This window comes from Homo sapiens, chromosome 1 (assembly GCF_000001405.40).
Source record: "Homo sapiens chromosome 1, GRCh38.p14 Primary Assembly".
In the NCBI taxonomy this organism is placed as follows: domain Eukaryota; kingdom Metazoa; phylum Chordata; class Mammalia; order Primates; family Hominidae; genus Homo; species Homo sapiens.
This window is the reverse complement of record NC_000001.11, coordinates 39,622,361-39,640,827: the sequence shown is the minus strand read 5'-3', so window position 1 is coordinate 39,640,827 and position 18,467 is coordinate 39,622,361. Positions and strand designations below refer to the sequence as shown.

General features: G+C 52.4%; 1 protein-coding gene across 2 annotated transcripts, besides 2 other annotated features; it reads left to right on the top strand.

Annotated features, from left to right (window-relative positions):
• Positions 829 to 1,218: a silencer, noted in NCBI's record as "silent region_707". NCBI's record gives its function as "represses an Ori minimal core promoter by ATAC-STARR-seq in GM12878 lymphoblastoid cells {active_cell/tissue: GM12878}" and the evidence as "EXISTENCE:reporter gene assay evidence [ECO:0000049][PMID:35858748]".
• Positions 1,185 to 17,393, top strand: HEYL (hes related family bHLH transcription factor with YRPW motif like). 2 transcript variants are annotated; one of them, NM_014571.4, is made up of 5 exons: positions 1,185 to 1,282; positions 8,113 to 8,179; positions 9,249 to 9,332; positions 10,520 to 10,601; positions 13,648 to 17,393. In NM_014571.4, the coding sequence occupies exons 1-5, from the start codon at positions 1,203 to 1,205 to the stop codon at positions 14,319 to 14,321; spliced, it is 987 nt and encodes a 328-aa protein (NP_055386.2). In that variant the 5' UTR covers positions 1,185 to 1,202; the 3' UTR covers positions 14,322 to 17,393. The 2 variants fall into 2 exon arrangements, with proteins under 2 accessions (NP_055386.2, XP_005270802.1); XM_005270745.4 differs by lacking the exon at positions 1,185 to 1,282 and adding an exon at positions 7,813 to 7,916.
• Positions 1,339 to 1,408: a silencer, noted in NCBI's record as "silent region_706". NCBI's record gives its function as "represses an Ori minimal core promoter by ATAC-STARR-seq in GM12878 lymphoblastoid cells {active_cell/tissue: GM12878}" and the evidence as "EXISTENCE:reporter gene assay evidence [ECO:0000049][PMID:35858748]".
• Positions 17,394 to 18,467: the final 1,074 nt, after the last annotated feature.

The window sequence follows — 18,467 nt, the reverse complement described above, 5'->3', positions numbered from 1 at the left end:
CCAGCAAGCAGGCCTTGCTGTGGGGATGGAAGCACAGTTATTCTCAGATGACCAACCCGATTCTCCCACTTGAAGGGGTGGCTTCCCTCAGGTCCTGACCTGGTGGCGGGTAAAAAGGAAAAGACCTCTCATATCTAACCCAGCACACCAAGACCTCCTCTATCTCCTCTTCCCTGCCCAAGAAGTCCAGCTCCAGGATGCTCTCATGCAGCTTCCTTTGGAGCCTTAGGAGCTTCTCTGAGGTACTGGGCGCCTGAGGATGACCGGTGAATCTGAGAACTTCCCACAAGTCCCCCTAAGGACAGGGCAGCTAGAGCCCTCCCTGAGTGAACAGTTTGATGGGTTGCCAGAAGCAGAGGCCCCAGGAAGAGAGGCTGGAAGGTATCTTCCCTTTTCCTCTCCTTCTCCCACTTTGAGGCCCTGCCATAGCGTCTAGAAGGAGCCCTTTCCTGGCCTCCTGGCCGCCCAGGACAACTCGACCTCTGGTGAACTGGGAACTGATTCCCAGGGACAACCCACCACTGCCACCACGCCAGGCCTTTAGGGACCTCGGCCAGAGCCCAGCTTTCTCAGATGCGGTGGCCACAACTTCAGCCGTCCCTTTTGGGGGTGACTGCCACCTCTCAGAAGTGTAAGTGTCTTCCCCTTGCCCCCACCACACTATTCCACTTGCTTTGGGCCCCTATGGAGTTGCTGCTGGGGAATTCTTGCTGAGGATCAGGCCACAACCACCACGACTAACTTCGACAAACTTGATGTGTCTGCTGCCTCCAGAACACCAGGAGGCAGGAGCGCGCAGGGTTGACCCTTGCGGAATCCCGGGCATCGAAGCGGCGCCTCTACAGGCCAGCAGCGCCCAGGCGACCCAGGGACAGACGGGGACTCCTGGCTTCCCCGCGGGGCCTCCCAGGGCACCTGCCCAAGGCCACCCAGCGCGCGGCAGCCGAGACAGCGGAGCAGAGCCGGACCTCCCAGCCGTCGATGAAGGCGGCGACCGCCTAGGGCCTTCCCACGGCTCGGCGGCGCGTCACCGCGGGGGCGAGGGGGCGCCTGGGCGCCCGGAGCTGCGGCGCAGGAAAGGGCCCTGGGAAAGGGCGGTGGCGGCGCCCCCGAGGCGGGGCCGGGGCGGGGCCGGGGCGGGGCCTGACTTCCCGACTGGGAGCCTTAGCCGCGGGGCTGAGACCAGGCAGCCTGCGTTCGCCATGAAGCGACCCAAGGAGCCGAGCGGCTCCGACGGGGAGTCCGACGGACCCATCGACGTGGGCCAAGAGGGCCAGCTGAGGTAAGGGCCGGGATGCGGGGACCGAGCAGGCGGAGGGCGAGCGGGGTGGGGGTCGGCCCGACGGGCTCGCCGAGCAGGCGGGCCAGCCCTCCAGCACCGCCTGGGCAGAGGCAGGTGAGCGCGGGGGCCACAGGTGTCGGCGTAGGGGGCGTGTGCGGGCCGTGCCGTTACACGCACGAGTGCCTGGATCCTGCGCGCTCTCGGTCGTGCAGGGCTGGGGATGCTGGCAGGGAGGGAGAGTTCAGCTCGGGGGATCAGGTGGCTAGTGGGTTATCATCTATCTGTTGAAGTGGCCTAGGGGAGGCCATTGGCAGGTTTTCCCTGGAGATCTTAGAAAACTCTCATAGACTGATGGTACTCTGGCCCCTGTCTGGAATCTGCTGACGATGCAGAGTAACCCCATCCTTTCCCAATTTTACCCTAGTTTGGATGCAGTTTTCATGTAGTCCACAAATTATTTCAGGAAGAAGAAAATTTGTCCTCCTTTGAGCAAATTGGAGTTTGGATTTAGGGACTTAGTATTGAAGAAAATAATAAGCGACTTGCAAGGGCCTAGACTCTAATTCCAATGTTCCTCCTATCGTGCCCCCATACTGCCAGTGTCTTTCAGCTCCTGGTAGATAGTCTGACCTGCTTCAAACCTGTCGAACAAACTGCGCTTGTATAGTTCTGCTACCTCGCAGTTCTGTAAACTGTCTAAGCTTCAGTTTCCTTATCTGTTAAATGAGCATGAATAATAGAACCAACTTCATGGAAATATTGGGAAAACCAAATGAGGCAAAGTATGTCAAGGGCTTAGCACAGCACATGCCTAGGTACACACCATGTGATTCCCAGCACCCTGAAAGAGCTGCAGGGCTGACTGGGAGTCTGCAGACCTGGGTCCCAGCCCCAAATCTGCCACCAACTCACTATGTGGTCTTGGGCCATTGGTTTCCCTGACAGAGTCTGTCATCAGTTTCCCCATCAGTAAAACAAAGACAGCAGTGGAAAAGAAAGGGATATACTTCATCTCTCTTGGCTCATCTAGACTTGACTCTCTAGAACAGAATTGGAGGGGAATTCAGTTAATTCTTTCTTTCTTTCTTTTTGACATGGTCTCACTCTGTTGCCCATGCTGGAGTGCAGTGGCATGATCATAGCTCATGGCAACCTTGATCTCCTGGGCTTAAGTGATCCTCCTGCCTTGGCCTCCCAAAGTGTTGGGATTACAGACATAAGCCAGTGAGCCAGGCCCAGTTAATTCTTAGGGATGTTTTTGAGGACATTTTGTAATTTTAGTGCTCTCCAGTTTTCTGAGATCCAAGGATCCTGCCTCAGTCTCAAATCCCAGGAAAATGCCATAATAGATATTCCTCTTGCAGCCTGTACATTTGTTTTTAGGGAGTATAACACAACTCGCTATGCAACGTATTAGCCTTTCTTAATTGTTTAGCAGAAACTGCTATTTAGAAAAGCAGTTATCTTAGCCTGTGCCTGTTAAGGGCCAGGAAAGGGCACAGCACCACGTGGTGGTGGTGGAGCGGGGTCTCAAATTCAATGGCATTGGGTCTTCATAGATCAGAGGCACAAAATTGATGCCAGAGAACTAGGTTGATCAGAGCTGGCTTCTGTCCTCCACAAGTTTGCAGCCCAGTCAGTGACCTGCCAGGTCATAAAAACACCATGGACAGGATGGAAAGGAGACAGACTGTGGGCTGTGAGGGCACTTAAGCAAAGAGAGGTCACTCTTAATCAAAGATGGCAAGGAGGGCTTCTTGAAGATAGTAGCATCTGGGCAACTGCTTACATGAGGCATAAAGGATCAGTGGGCAGTTTTTTCCTATACATACAGCATTTCCTATATATACAGAGCCCATTTTTAGACACTGTTCTTAGAGGAGCAGACCCCTCTGAGGAGAGAAAGCAGCTGGACATCTGGCAGAGGCTGACTTATAGATGCCCCTTTGTAGCACTCACCAAAGGGCCCTTCCCCCAGCAGACATCAATGCTTCAATTCAGGGAGCACTGAACGATGCCTGCTGTGGCCCAGACCCTGGGCTGGGCATAGGGGGCCCAGATGTATCCTGCTCAGCCTCTGCCCTCAGGGAACTCTCAGGGAAGAAGAGCTTCATGTACAAAGAAAGCAGATAAACACTGACAAAGGCCGCAGGACGGAGGCAGCCAGCCTCTCGGGGTCAGGGGCAGGGCGCAAAACCCCCACACTCAGAAACGTGAGAGTAAAGAGCAGGGTGTGTTCCACCATCACTGTGGCATCTGCCTGGTGGCAGTCCTGCCACATCTGTGAAACTCACCCACAGAGCTCTCATCTCAACCTGGCCCCATGACGCAGGATGAGTCCAAACTGAGAGTACAGCCTCTCCTCTCCCTCTGCAAACATCTAATGAGCACCTGCCACATGTCAGACACTGGATCAGGGTCCTGTTCCTGCACAATATAAGGTGGTGGTCTTGGAGTCAGATAGACCTGAGTTTGAATTTTACCACCATTAACTTTGGCCAGTGACTTTTACCCCTTTCTGAACCTCAGTTTTCTCGCGTTCAAAATGGGAATACATTAGCACTCCTGCCTCGCAGGATAAGGTTTGATGAAGTAACATACATAAAGTTACATAGCTCCCTGCTTTGGCACAAAGTAACTTCCAATAAACGTTGCTGTCAAAGCGGTCACCATTCAGTTGGGGGGCAACATATTTATGAGACAGCATGGTCTAATGAAAAGACCGGAAGTGTGAAGACTGGACTTACTGGAGTGATTCTTAACTCCAGTGTCTCTGTCACTCCACCTGTAAAATGATTATTTTTCCTAAATGTGAAATGGCCCAAAAAATACTTCACTTACAGTGCTATTGTGCAATAAATTAGACAAATGGATGTGGAAGTGCAGTATAGAACAAAAAGCACTGGCTCTGAGATCTACATGACGGGATGATGTATATATGGGGTGCACTGGCAAAAGCCCCAGATTAAAAGCCACTAGAGGCCGGGCACGGTGGCTCACGCCTGTAATCCCAGCACTTTGGGAGGCTGAGGTGGGTGGATCACGAGGTCAAGAGATCGAGACCATCCTGGCTAATATGGTGAAACCCCATCTCTACTAAAAATACAAAAAATTAGCTGGGCATGGTGACACGTGCCTGTAGTCCCAGTTACTTGGAAGGCTGAGACAGGAGAATCACTTGAACCTGGGAGGCGGAGGTTGCAGTGAGCTGAGATTGTGCCACTGCACTCCAGCCTGGGTGACAGAGTAAGACTCTGTCTCAAAAAAGAAAAGAAAAAAAAAAAAAAGCTACTAGAGTAGACCTGGCTGTAGTTCCGATTTTCCTCTAATTTGCTGTGTGGCCTGGGGAAGATCCCTTCCCCTCTGAGTTTCCTTATTTTACAAATGGACTCAGTTCTCTCTGAGATTCCTTCATTTGGGACATTGTGATTCTGCCTTTGGCTGACACAAAATGATTAGGGTCATCTGCAAGGGTTCCACGGGGGAGTTCCCAGGGGAAGTCAGCACTGAGGGTGGTCAGGACCACCTGGAAAGCTTCCCCCCATAAGAGACCGCCCCAGAATTCTGGCTAGGAGCCACTAGAGGCCTATGGAGCAGATCTTGATGGTCAACATATCTTCTCTGGGTCCATGAAAATCTGTGTCATTTTCAGATTCTCAGACAAGAGAATCCCACACCTCATCCCACTGTCAGGGCCAGATCGCGGGCTGGAAGGGAGCTCTGGCTGGGCTCTTGGGAACTTTAAAAATAAGGGGACCGGAGGGCTATTCAGACAGACAGGAAGTAGGAATTAGAAGGGAAAAAATGCTGAAGCGGAGCCAGAAGATGCGGATTCCCTGCTGGCTTTGCTCCTTAGCAGCTGGGTAGGCTGGGCAACCTGCTTTAGCTCCCTGAAGCTCAGCAACCTCATCTGTAATATGGGCTTTTGTAAGGCTCAAAGGAGGGAAAGACATATAATGTTGCCAAGAAAACTGTAATGTGAGGTTTGCCTCTGAGATATGGGAAGAGGAGAAGGGGGGAAATAATACGACAGGGACAAGCTGACCAGGAGATTGGAAAAAGGAATGGCAGCACTGCTTTGCCCTGAAATGGGTGCGTCAGCCTCCAACAGATGGTCCCAGCGGAGGGATCAGGCTGAGAGGCAGTGACGTGTGCAAGGCTAACCTAATACCCGGAAAGACGCTTTATCAAGCTGGGGGGAACAAAGGCCGTGTTTCTTAGTGTGTCTTGGCTCTTGGGGTTTGTCCCCAGTGAACCAGTGAGGCTTTGTAAACAAGCTGCCCCATAGATCTCAAGATCTGGCCTTACAAGCCCTGGACCTAGCTTGCTGGGTCCTCCCTCCCAGGAGCTATTATAGACCTCTTACCAGGTCGGCTTGTCCAGATGTTTGGGTGGGAGATATCCTTTTCCAGATGTGTCTGGACAAAGCCAGAGACATAGCAGTAGGATTTGACAAATGCTATCTGGTCTCTTCTGCAACCTTCTCTGAGCAGTTGATGAAAATGATCCAAATTCAAATGCCAAAAGGGTTGGGACCCTTGGGCTGGGACCCTTGTGTTAAGTCATATACGCCCCCATTCCACAAAGTCCTAGGCCATAGATTTTATGGTGCTTACATCTCTGTTCCCCAGTGATGCCAAAGACATGGGTGAGAGAAGAAAGCTCTACCATGAGTTCTGCTGTATTCCAAGCCCTTGCTGAGTACTGAAGCTGCAATAGTGAATGTAACAGACATGGTTCATGGCCTCATGGAGCTTATGGATTTGTTGGAGAGATAGACATCAATCAAATAACCATATAAATATAAAACAATGAACTGGCATAAATGCTGTGAAAGCAGGGTGCTAGGAGAGTATTGAGCAGGGGACACTAGTGGGAGGAGGAATGTTAGAAAAGGCTCCCCAGGGAGGTGCCATCTGAGTTGAGATCTGATGGGTTGTAGAAGTTATGGGGCAAAGGGACTGGGGCTTGGGGTGATGGGTGAACCAAAGATGGTGGACCTAGGCTAGGGGACAGTGCATGCAACTGAATGAAGGAGTTGGTGCATTCATAGGCTGGGGCATACAGAAGAAGACGGTTGAGTCTAGAGGGGTTGACAGGGGCCAGTTGGACCACCTGAAAGATGGTGGCCTTGATCTTAAAAAACATTGGGGCCAGCCATGGTGGCTCATGCCTGTAATCCCAGCACTTTGGGAGGCCAAGGCGGGCAGATCACCTGAGGTCAGGAGTTCAAGACCATCCTGGCCAACATGGTGAAACCCCGTCTCTACTAAAAATACAAAAATTAGCTGGACGTGGTGGTGGGTGCCTGTAATCCCAGCTATTTCGGAGGCTGAGGCAGGAGAATTACTTGAACCGGGTGGCGGAGGTTGTAGTGAGCCAAGATCATGCCAGTGCACTCCAGCCTGGGCAACAGAGTGAGACTACATCTAAAAAAAACCCAAAACAAACAAACAAAAGTTGGGGAGCCACTGAGGAGTTTTAAGTGAGTGATATGATCAGATTTCAATGATCACTCTGCCTGCAGTGTGGAGATAGGCTTGTAGAGAGTAAAAGAGGGTGTAAAAGGACCCAACAAGAAGCTCTTGCAGTCACCCAGATGAAAGATGATAAAGGCGTAGCATTGAGAGAAGTGGCGGAGAGGAAGAGGACAGACGTGAGATATATTTTAGACATAGCGTGGGCAGGTTTTGATGAGGTGGGGGTGAGGAGGAGGAGGAATCAAAGACAGCATCAGCTTTCCACCTTGCAGAACTGGGGTACCTTCACTGAGATGGGGAAACCCAGGGGCAGCAGGAGCAGGTGTGGGTGAAGGCCAGCTTGCAGATTCCTGTTCAGATGTGTGGCGTTGTGTCTTCTGAAACGGCAGGGGAGTCACCTTGTTTGTTGTTTGTTGGTGCAGTGTCTGCCCACTGGAGCTGAGTTGAGGAAGGGAAGGGCTGGGGTCTGGCTGAGTGCACCAGCACCCACCCAGGCCTGAATAGGGCCTTAGAAGTGTTGGCCAAATGAATGATGCCTCAGTGGACCCAGCGAATCCTCACCATTCTAAGAGAGCTTCTGAAGCAGAAAACCTGAAGAAGGGTTAGCAGTTGGGCTGGAGATTATTTTGGTCAGAGTCTGGGCAGGAAAAGCCCCCCCAGGGCTGAGCCTCTTCTCTGTAATGGGAGCTCCTGGGGTGTGAGCAAACATCCATCATTCAACCGGGGCGCAGAGGGAAGGCCCGGAGTGGGAGGAGAGGCCGAGGTTGGAGGGACGGGGCCTTCTGGGAGGCCAGGGCAGTGTCCCAGAGCATCCGAGAGGGGCCTGTGACCCAGATGCCGCCTCCCCTTCGCCCCCGGCCGCACCGCGTGGGAGGAGGCGGCAGCTGCAGGCGGGGCGGAGGGCGGGCGGCCGGCGCGCCCGGCCCGTGGGAAGCAGCGGCATCTGCTCTTTCCACGCTCGTTCCCAGCGGCTCCCTCTGAAACCCAACCCGCCCGGCCCAGCCCCGCCGCCGCCGGCCAGTGCCCTCGCCCGCCCCGCCCCCGGGGATCGGGTTGCAGGAGCCGGAGCCACCGCGCCGCGGTACGCGGTTCCCCGACGGCCGCCGCGAGGGGCGAGGAGCGAGGAGCGAGGGGCGAAGGGCGAGGCCGAGCAGGTCCGGACCAAGAGCCCAAAGTGGGCCCAGAGTGCATGAGAGGACTTGACCCGGGTTGAAATGAGCCCCCAGGAAGAAGGGGAGAGCAAGCTGCTCCTTCTAGGCCCAGCCTGTGGCTCCTCCTGGCCCGAGGTCGGCCCAGGCCGGGGAGACTGTCCCCCAGCCCTGAAAAATCAGCTTTTCTTTTCCTTTCCAGCCAGATGGCCAGGCCGCTGTCCACCCCCAGCTCTTCGCAGATGCAAGCCAGGAAGAAACACAGAGGGGTGAGTGTCCGTCTCAGCCTCTGAGTTGACCAACAAAGGGTTGCCATGAATCCCCTGCAGTCTGGCGGCGGGGAGAACCCTAGGCAGAAATTTCACCATGAAGCTAACTGCTTGGGTTCAAATCCCGGCTCTGTCACTAGCTATCAGGGTGATTCCAGGCAAGCCTGTTAACCTCTCTGAGCCTGATTTGCTCCTTTGTGTAACTGGAATAATGAGAGGGCCCACCTCAAAGGGCTGCTTTACAGATTAAGTGCATTAATGTAATGCTCTAAACAATAGCAGACACACAATAGGCCATTATGATTGTTGTTCCTATCTTCTGTCTCCTCTCTGAGTCCAGAACTTTCATCCCCCTCAGTGTGCCGGGGTGGGGGAGGGGACAGAAGAAGGATCCCCACTTGCCGCTGTCATCTGTCCATCATGTTCAGCCCCACTTTCCTCCCAGGATGCAGCTGTGTTTCTGCACTGGGAGTCCAGACACCTGGGGTCTGGCAGAGAGCAGCCTGACACTCACTGACTGTAAGCCCTTAGGCAAACCACTTCCTTCCAGCCCTCATTTTCCTTATCTGTAAAATGGGGTCATATCTGTCCTGCTCCCGGTGTTCTGCTACCAGTATTGGAGGGAAGAATGAGAGTGTGTGGGTGGAAGGGCCCTGCAGCTAGAGAGAGCAACACGTGGGACTCCCCAAACCATCTCATGACCTCACAGATGACGGGGTCACCCTCCTGGCCCAGCACGGGCCTCCAGGGCCTGCTCCAGCACCGTGGCTGGTGTCCTCATTGTGATTGGCTGTGCCCTGCTGTACCAGTGGTTAAACATCTTGAATATCACCCCTATAGACCGAGACAAGAGATCTGAGTTGTACTCCCAGCTCTGCGCTTTCTTGCTGTGTGACCTTAAGCAAATCACTGTCCTTCTCTGGGCCTTGGTTTTCTCCACCATAAAGTAAGACTAGATTGATCTCCCTCACAAAAATACTGTGTGGGTAAATATGAGTTGATGACCATCAAGGCACTTTGGAAACTGTGATGACACACCTGTGAGTAACTTCTTGTCATGATTGTTTAGATCATAGAGAAACGGCGTCGAGACCGCATCAACAGTAGCCTTTCTGAATTGCGACGCTTGGTCCCCACTGCCTTTGAGAAACAGGTATGTGACATTGCTGATTGTGCTAGAGGAAATACTGTGTGGGTGGCAGATAAGGTTCGTTTCTCATGGCATCTCTTGTTGATTGGTAGCAGCTGCCTGAGATGCTGTGATCATTTACCAATATCTGTCACTGGCCAGGGTAAAAGGAATGGAAATTTATACTTAGGTGTCTCAGGTGTCTTTATGTCTATCATCCCATTGAATTGACTCCTCAAAATGATCCCAAAGGTTAGGGATTATTATGCCCATGGCACAGGTAAAGAAACTGAAGCACAGAGAGGTGAAGTAACTTACACCAGATCACGCAGCTAGTAAATAGCAGGGCACAGGACTGTGTGATTCTCAAGCCCTCATCCCTCTGCACTACAGACATTTCTAGAGTGACTTGAAAGTGGAAAAGGCTGCTCAGGGAGTGAGCACTCTACCATTGAGCATGTTAGGTGGGGGAACTACAGCGGGGAATCAGACAGTGGACTCAGCCTCAGAAATTCTCACCCTATGCACCAAGGCATAGGTCACGGGTCCTCTGCCTTCCTTTATGCTGGTGAGAACAAGTCAGTCATCCCACAGATGTTCACTAAAACCATCACAGGACCAGCCATGAACTAGACCTAGTATCTGCCCTCAAGGGACTCCCATGGAGCCTCTGATCTTCAGGCTTCACCTGGAAAGCTTAGGAAGCATTTCCCAAGAGAGAAAAGAGGAAGAACAAGTGGTCTGGGGATAAGATGATGAGCTAGATCTTGGGCACATTGAGTCTGAAGTTGGATTCCCTGAAGAGCTGGTTTAAGAGGCATTCTGAGGATGGTGGCTAAAGCCATGGAGGTGACAAGCCTCTCTGCAGGGAGCAGCAGAATGCGAAGTGACACAGAAGGGACAGTACTGTGTTAAGAGACGGCAGATCAAGAGGCATGGTGAAAGGAGAGCCCAGAAACAGTGGTGTCGTGCAAGTCAAGGGAGGAGTGGTTTCAGGAAAGATGATCGGCAGCTGTACAGTGGACAGATGGTCTGAGAGGAGAACTGAAAAGAATGTTCTAGATTTGGAGAACTTGGCCAAAGCAGAAGCCCATTTGCAGGCAGCAGTGGAGTGGGAGGAAGGTGAGAAAATCGAGACAGTGAGTGCTGATGACACCGCACAGCTACATGGTCAGCTGCAGGCTCCACCCTTCTGTCTTCTGTACCCGCAGGGCTCTTCCAAGCTGGAGAAAGCCGAGGTCTTGCAGATGACGGTGGATCACTTGAAAATGCTCCATGCCACTGGTGGGACAGGTACCCATGCTCTTCTCTTTCAGGCGTCATTCATACAACAAATATTTTGAGGCTGGGCCCTGGGGATATGCTGGTGAGCAAAGTCCACACGCTGCCCACTCTGAGGAGCTCAGTCAATGGAGGGAACATTTGCAAAGCTTCTCTCTCTCCTTTCAGCATCTCCCTCTCCACTTTCAGTGTCTCCATTTGTCGCAACCTTTTCCTCAGTTCAGCTCCCTCCAGTCTTAGACCTGGGAGGCGCTTTCTTCTGTAACAGACTGTTCCTATGGGTCCCACTCTTGTCCAACCCAGGACCTCATTAAGAATTCACCTGAATGAGCTAATTCTCACTGGGATCCCAATCTGACCCCCCTTAACCCAGGGAGGAGCCTGGTATCCTACCCACTGGTCTAGCCTTCTGGGCTACTGTGGGGTCCTTGGCAGAACTGGGGTGACATATCATGCTCACCACAGGTCTCAGGATTGTAGCAGGACACAAATTAACTCATTTTGTTATTTTAAGCCCATCAGTTACAATAAAGTAAGGGAACAGTGGCTTTAAAGACACTTCCAGACAAATAGAAATTCTGTCTACTCAAAGTTTCTCTGTGTATTTGGTGATTTCAAAATTGGGAAACCTTGAAAGCTCCACAGGCCTTGGCCACAAAGACCTAAGTTCCAGAGACCTAACTTACTGCTACAGAAGAGGACAGTAGCATTTTAAGTGGCCCATTCTGGTGCTTCTGAAGCCTCAGTGTATACCATTGTCACCTTGGGGCAGGCAGAATCAGGAGTCATCCCCCAGAGATTCTGAGGCAGTAGGTCTAGATTGAAGTTTAGGAGTTTGCAAGTTTAACAAGCCACCCAATTATCCTGGTGCAGGTGGTCCATTTGGGAACTTCTGCCAAAAAAAATGCATTGCTAAGAGTGGAGACTTCCATCTCTAATGAACCAATGGGGGAGATTCAAATTACATTTATGGTTATCCAGTGAAAAGAAAAGTAGTGACTAATATGTGGATATCATTTGACAGTTTTAAAATGCTTTCACTTGTGTTGTTTCATTTGATTCTCACAAGAACCTGCAAGATGGGGGTTAGTGTTACCACCATTTTCTGACTGTGAACTAATGGGAAGACAGAACTGTGGTTCACGGTATAGGCTTTAGATTTGAATCGGGCTCTACTGGTTACTAGCCGTATGACCTTAGACAAATGATTTAACCTCTCCCCTCCTCAGTTTCCTCATCTCTAAAATGGGAATAATTAGAGGGTTTTATGAGGATTAAATTAGATAACTTGATGAAATGCTTAGTAAGAATTCAGCAAATGTTAGAAAAAAACAGCGGGCCGGGCGCGGTGGCTCACGCCTGTAGTCCCAGCACTTTAGGAGGCCGAAACAGGCGGATCACAAGGTCAGGAGATCGAGACCATCCTGGCTAACACGGTGAAACCCCATCTCTACTAAAAATACAAAAAAAGAAATCAGCCGGGTGTGGTGGTGGGCGCCTGTAGTCCCAGCTACTCGGGAGGCTGAGGCAGGAGAATGGCATGAACCCAGAAGGCGGAGCTTTCAGTGAGTCGAGATCGCACCACTGCACTCTAGCCTGGGCGACAGAGCGAGACTCCGTCTCAAAAATAAAAGAAAAAGAAAAAGAAAAGAACAGCAAAGGCCAGGCGCAGTGGCTCACACCTGTAATCCCAACACTTTGGGAGGCCGAGGTGGGCGGATCACCTGAGGTCAGGAGTTCGAGACCAACCTGGCCAACATGGTGAAACCCTGTCTCTACTAAAAATACAAAAATTAGTCGCTGTGATGGCTGTTGCCTGTAATCCCAGCTACTTTGGAGGCTAAGGCAGGAGAATCTCTTGAACCTGGGAGGCGGAGATTTCAGTGAGCCAAGATCGTGCCACTGCACTCCAGCCTGGGGGACAGAGCGAGACTCCATCTCAAAAAAAATAAAAAAAGAAAAAAAGAACAGCAAACGCAGAAAGGTGAAGGGATTTGCTTGAACTTACATGGCTAAGTGTATAGCAGATTTGGTTCTCACCCACAAGTTGACCTGACTCCAAACATAGTCTCCAGCTGAGCTGTTCCTCTGTGGGGGCCATGAACCAAGGACTAGATATTTGCTGCCATCGTCATGAGACCAGTGCTGGCTGGGGTTGTTGTGTCTTTGCCCAGAAGGTGGTCAAGAGAGGAACAGGTATGGAGAGGCAGTGAGGATGTGAATATTTGTACAGGAAGTTCACCTGGTTATCCATCAAAGAGAGGGTCCCTGGCCGATAACAGCAGCTGAGGATCACAGTGGGGTCTTGCTTTCCAGATTGCCTTTTGAGCCAAGGGACAAACTCAGATGCCAACAAGGCCAAGCCAGTAATATAAGTGATAGCTAACTTTTCATTTATTCAGCATTTTCTGTGCACTATTTTAATTTCACCCTCATAACTCTATACGGTAGGCACTGCTATATCCCCATTTTACAGCTAAGGAAATTGAGGCACAGAGAGATAAAGAGACTTGTCCACAATCAGGCAGCTAGTTAAGTAGCAGAGCCAGGATTTGAACCCAGCTCTCCTGGCTTCCGACGACCTCACACTTCACTGCTACACTACGCTGCCTTCTCCAAGGGGCCTCCTCACTCTGATGGCTGCTGCCGCCACCTCCCTTCCTGGGCATCTGCCCCTCTCAGCAGGCAGAGTTGTTCTACACCTCCAAGTGCATAACCTTTCATATCTGTCAAGTATCTACTTCAATGAAGTTATCTTGGCCACAAAGTTTTTTCTTTGCATTAATCATGAATTGTGATGAAAGCAATATTTTACATTTTATAATGCTTCATAGTTTAGTGAATTCATTGATCATTATAACCCATCATCCTCCACCCCAGGAAGGGATTTTTGTTCTCACTTTGCAGATGGGGAGACAGGCTCAGAGAGGCAGGATGACATGGCCACGGCTGCCCAGGGAGTGAGTGGAGGAGGCAGGTCCAGAACTCAGACAGTCAGACCCAGGCTCCATGCTTCTCCCCACACCTGGCATGACCTTCATCACGCCTCCCTTTGCAGGATTCTTTGATGCCCGAGCCCTGGCAGTTGACTTCCGGAGCATTGGTTTTCGGGAGTGCCTCACTGAGGTCATCAGGTACCTGGGGGTCCTTGAAGGGCCCAGCAGCCGTGCAGACCCCGTCCGGATTCGCCTTCTCTCCCACCTCAACAGCTACGCAGCCGAGATGGAGCCTTCGCCCACGCCCACTGGCCCTTTGGCCTTCCCTGCCTGGCCCTGGTCTTTCTTCCATAGCTGTCCAGGGCTGCCAGCCCTGAGCAACCAGCTCGCCATCCTGGGAAGAGTGCCCAGCCCTGTCCTCCCCGGTGTCTCCTCTCCTGCTTACCCCATCCCAGCCCTCCGAACCGCTCCCCTTCGCAGAGCCACAGGCATCATCCTGCCAGCCCGGAGGAATGTGCTGCCCAGTCGAGGGGCATCTTCCACCCGGAGGGCCCGCCCCCTAGAGAGGCCAGCGACCCCTGTGCCTGTCGCCCCCAGCAGCAGGGCTGCCAGGAGCAGCCACATCGCTCCCCTCCTGCAGTCTTCCTCCCCAACACCCCCTGGTCCTACAGGGTCGGCTGCTTACGTGGCTGTTCCCACCCCCAACTCATCCTCCCCAGGGCCAGCTGGGAGGCCAGCGGGAGCCATGCTCTACCACTCCTGGGTCTCTGAAATCACTGAAATCGGGGCTTTCTGAGCTGCCCCTTCACCACCCCGCCCCAAGGAATAAGGAAGGTTCTTTTACCAGGAGCCCAAAAAAGGGCACTGCCTTTTCTGCTTTGCTTCATGGACTGGCTCATATGTGAAGGCACGTTCTCCAGCCATCAGAGGCCCCCTCCTCCTCCAACCCATCTCTCCTTCTCACTGTTATCCCAGCTTATCCACCCAGCTCTCCTGGAGCTGTTCTGGTCTCAGAGGCTTGGTTCCATTTCTCACCTGAACAGATGAGTCCTGGGAGAGACCCTCAGAGATCCGCCCAGACCCCTCTCCTGCCCTCTGCACACCAGCAGCAGGCATGAACCTTGGGTCTGGGAAAAAGCTTTAACCTGCAGGGCACCAGGACCCAAGGCAGGCTGTTCCTTGGGGCGGTCAGACCCCAGTCAGGAGCAATGACTGACTGGCTGCAGCCTTCCCACGCCAAGAGGCTGGAACATAGTGTCTGCCTCGCTTCCTGGAGATAGTAACTGAGCAGGGGCTACAAAGAGGTCTCCTGGGAACCCTGTCTGCCCCTTCCCACCTGTCCTTGGGCCACACCATCACACTGAACCACAGGACAGACCCTTTCTCCACCACAGCCAAGGCCTGGAGACTGGGGGCCCAGCAGAGCCTGCTCCCACCCTCCTCCCAGCAGCAGACACCCACCCTCTCACTGACTAACAGGTCCCTGCACACAGCTGGCCTGGTAAACCCAGCTGGGAGGTTTCTAGGCAGCAGCAAAACTCTGTGACAGGGTGTCCTCACACCAGGCCTTGGACAGCTCTCCCAGACAGGAGCCAGGGTTGAGCAATGGAGAGCCCAGCCCCCACGTCTTACAGTCGCCATCCTCCAGGCGTGTGGTCCCTCCCCATTGGGTGCACAGTGCAGAGGGGCCGTGGCCCCATGTGATGGTGCGCAGAGAGGAACCTCTTGGGATTCAGCACCAGACGTCTGTGCTGCCTGGTTTGCATCCGGCTCACAGAGCCCAGACTGCTGGAACAGCCAAGGACTGTCAGGCTGGACAAAAATAACTGCAAGGAGGGGCAAGAGAAAGGATGATTCGAGGCACCTTGGCCCTTCAAGGTCATGCAGTGGGTCGAGCGCCTGAGATCCTGTTCACCAGGACTCCACAGAGCTGGCTCTGCTCAGAAGCCATTTCATTCCCCGGCTCCACCCTAGGCCACTTTTTCTAACAGAGGAAACAAATGGTCCAGCAGTCGTTCCCAGCAGAACAGCGGAGCCTGGACTGACACCCAGTGGGACCAGTGTTGCCACACCAGTTGATAAAATGCAGAAACCCTTCTGTACTCGTTGGTAAATATCTACTCCCCCAAGTGACTCCAGGTGCCCCCCACCGCCTGGCACTTCCCCCAGGACTCCTACGATCTGGTTACTGCCTGGCCGATCCAAGGCTGTGGAGTCCCAGAGCCAGCAGTTCACTGGTGCTCATTCCACACTGGTTAGATACTTCAGTTGTCACCCCTGGGAAGATTCTCCCACCTCCTCCCTTTGATGGAACCACCCTCCCCAGAGGCTGCATTGAGGAGACTCCACAGACTGAAAAGTGAGTTTGCAGAAACCTTGGGGAAAAGGGCCCTTTCAAAGAAGTGGATAAGAGGGAGGAGATCATTGAGTGACCCAGAAAGCTCTTTTGAAAAGACAGACTCCTCAAGGAGAGATAAAGAGGAAAGCACCTCTTTCATTTTTTAGTGTGAGCTAATTCCATCAGACTGCTGTCCTCCTGGACCCATCTGAGATGTGCAGTAGCAAGGAGAGGGGGGATCATTTTAGAGAGTGGGTCATTGGCAGGGAGTGCTCCGGAGGGAGGCAGAGGGGAGACTGTGGTAGAAGGAAGACAGAACTCACACATGCTCCCAGGATTGGGGACAGGGACAGAGGAGGTAACAGAAGGCAAAGGCCAGTTTCCCCGTTATCATGAAGGGGCCCACTCAGGACAGGAACAAGGACAACTCCTCCTCCTCCTCCTCCTCTCCTGCTGCTCCTGGGATACCAGGTCAGTGATGTAGTCTTGCAGTTTGGCAACTTCCTAGCCTGAGAATCCCTAGTGGGGCTGTGGGAAACACATTTCCACGTTGCAAGCATGCAACTCCAAAGAATCTGTGATGCCACTGAAATGAGATGGGAATGATCCAGCTCTTTCAGCATCTTGGTTGAACTTGCTTTCATTGTCCCTGGGATATTGTGGAAGGAAAGGTGACTGTGTGATCTGATTCTGTGGTCAAGGACTTGCATCTTGTGTTTCTATCCCCAAGCCTTCCTGGTGTCTCCAACTCCTACCCCATTGCATGGGTTGTTGCGGACATCCAATAAAGATTTTTTTAGTGCTTCTGGAAACTTCCAGTAGATTCTACTTCTAAACTATCTCTGGAGTCCATCCACTTCTGTCTGCACCCACAGCCATCCTGGCCAGGCCACATCACCTCCCCCAGATCACTGCCCTGGCCTCAGAAAGGTCTTCCCTCTTGCTTTGTCAATCAGTTCTCAGTAGCAGCAGAGAGAAATTGAAAGCTGCAGGTCATATCGTATCATCTTTAGTTTGAAAACCTCACTCTCTTACCCTATTGTTCTAAAGGTCTTCTTTTGGTCCCAACCTCATTTCCAGCCTCATTTCTTGCCAGTCCCAGACTTGCTCCCTGAGCTTCTGCCACCTGCCCTTCCTTCATTTCCTCGACATTCCAGCCTTGTTCCCACCTCCAGCACTTTGCATATGCTGTTCCCTTTGCCAAGAATGCTCTTCCCCTACCCTGTGCATGGCTGAGTTCTGCAGACCCTCAGGCCTTGGCTTCAACGTTGCCTCGTCCAAGAGGCCTTCCTCGACTACTTTACTTGTGGAGTTCCTCTATCACAAGGCCTCTGTTCTTTCCCTTCATGGAGAATTTGCCACTGCATATCCATTTGTGTAATTTACTTGTTGGTTGACTGTGCCTCCCACTCGAGTGTAAGCTCATGAGGCCAGGTGCCATGCCTGGTTCAGTCTCCACTCTGTACCCAGCATTGAGCACAGGGCCTGGTCCATAGTTGGCGTTCAATAAATACTTGTTGAAGAAGTGAACTGAGAAGGTGAGATATCTTCTGGACTCATGCCGTGGATGGTCCAGGCCCCTTTAGGTGTGAACCCCCTGCTGGCCAACTTTGCGGGGAGGCTGCAGAGCAGAGGGAGAGCCAGGGCCAAGGGACTGGAAGTTCTGGCAAGTGGCCAGGAGGCCCTGGCCAAAGGCAAGTGCGAGTGTCCACTCCGAGTGCACACTGACAGCTGGGAGCAGGCAGGCTGTCCTGCCAGCAGGCATTGCTCTCCACCCTTGGCTTGGCTCTGTGATGGATTTGGCTCGCAACAAATCCAACGAACACAGAGGTCTGCTCTGTGCCAGCCAGGCACAGTGGAGCCAGAGCTGGGAAGGACACAGTTGCTTTGAGTGGGGGGCACACCCTCCATCAGGATGATAGTTTGGTGAGATGAGAGTAGGGAGGTTTGTTAGGAAGGCTGAAGGGAGCAGAGTTGGGGTATGTGGCCCTGCCCGGGGTGTCAAGCGGGTAGGGGGCTCTGGGAGGAAGCTTTCCAGGAGGAGAAGGAAGGGAACCATTCTATGTGCAAAGACCTGGAGACCTCATCAAGGAGAGCTGTAGACGTTGGCTCTGAGTTGAGCACGGGCCCTCAGTGACAGGGTGAGAGGTGGGCTAGCCTGGGCACTGAAGCCAGACTTCTTTATTAATGAGTTGTATGTAGTCTTGGGCAAGTTACTGAACCTCCCTTATCCTCAACTTTCTCATCAATAAAGCGGGGAAGATGCAGTAATGGCTACTATTGGTTGAGTGATAACTGTGTACCAGACACTGTACCTAATGCTTTTCTTGGAATGTCCCATTTTACAGATGAGGAAACTGAGCTAAGACATCATCTCCTAAGGTTAGGTGGTAATTGAATGAGATAACATGTAAAGCTCTCAATAGAGTGCCTGGGTCACATGAACCGCTCCACCAATCTTAGCCGTTAGTGTCATCAATGAGAGGAGGCTGGATCCAAATTGAAAGGCCAGGAGCATCATGCAGAGTCTGGGCTTCAGCCTATAGGCAGTGAGAGCCCTGGAAGATTTTGCCAAGTGAATGCTCAGGTGGGACCTTGTTTAAG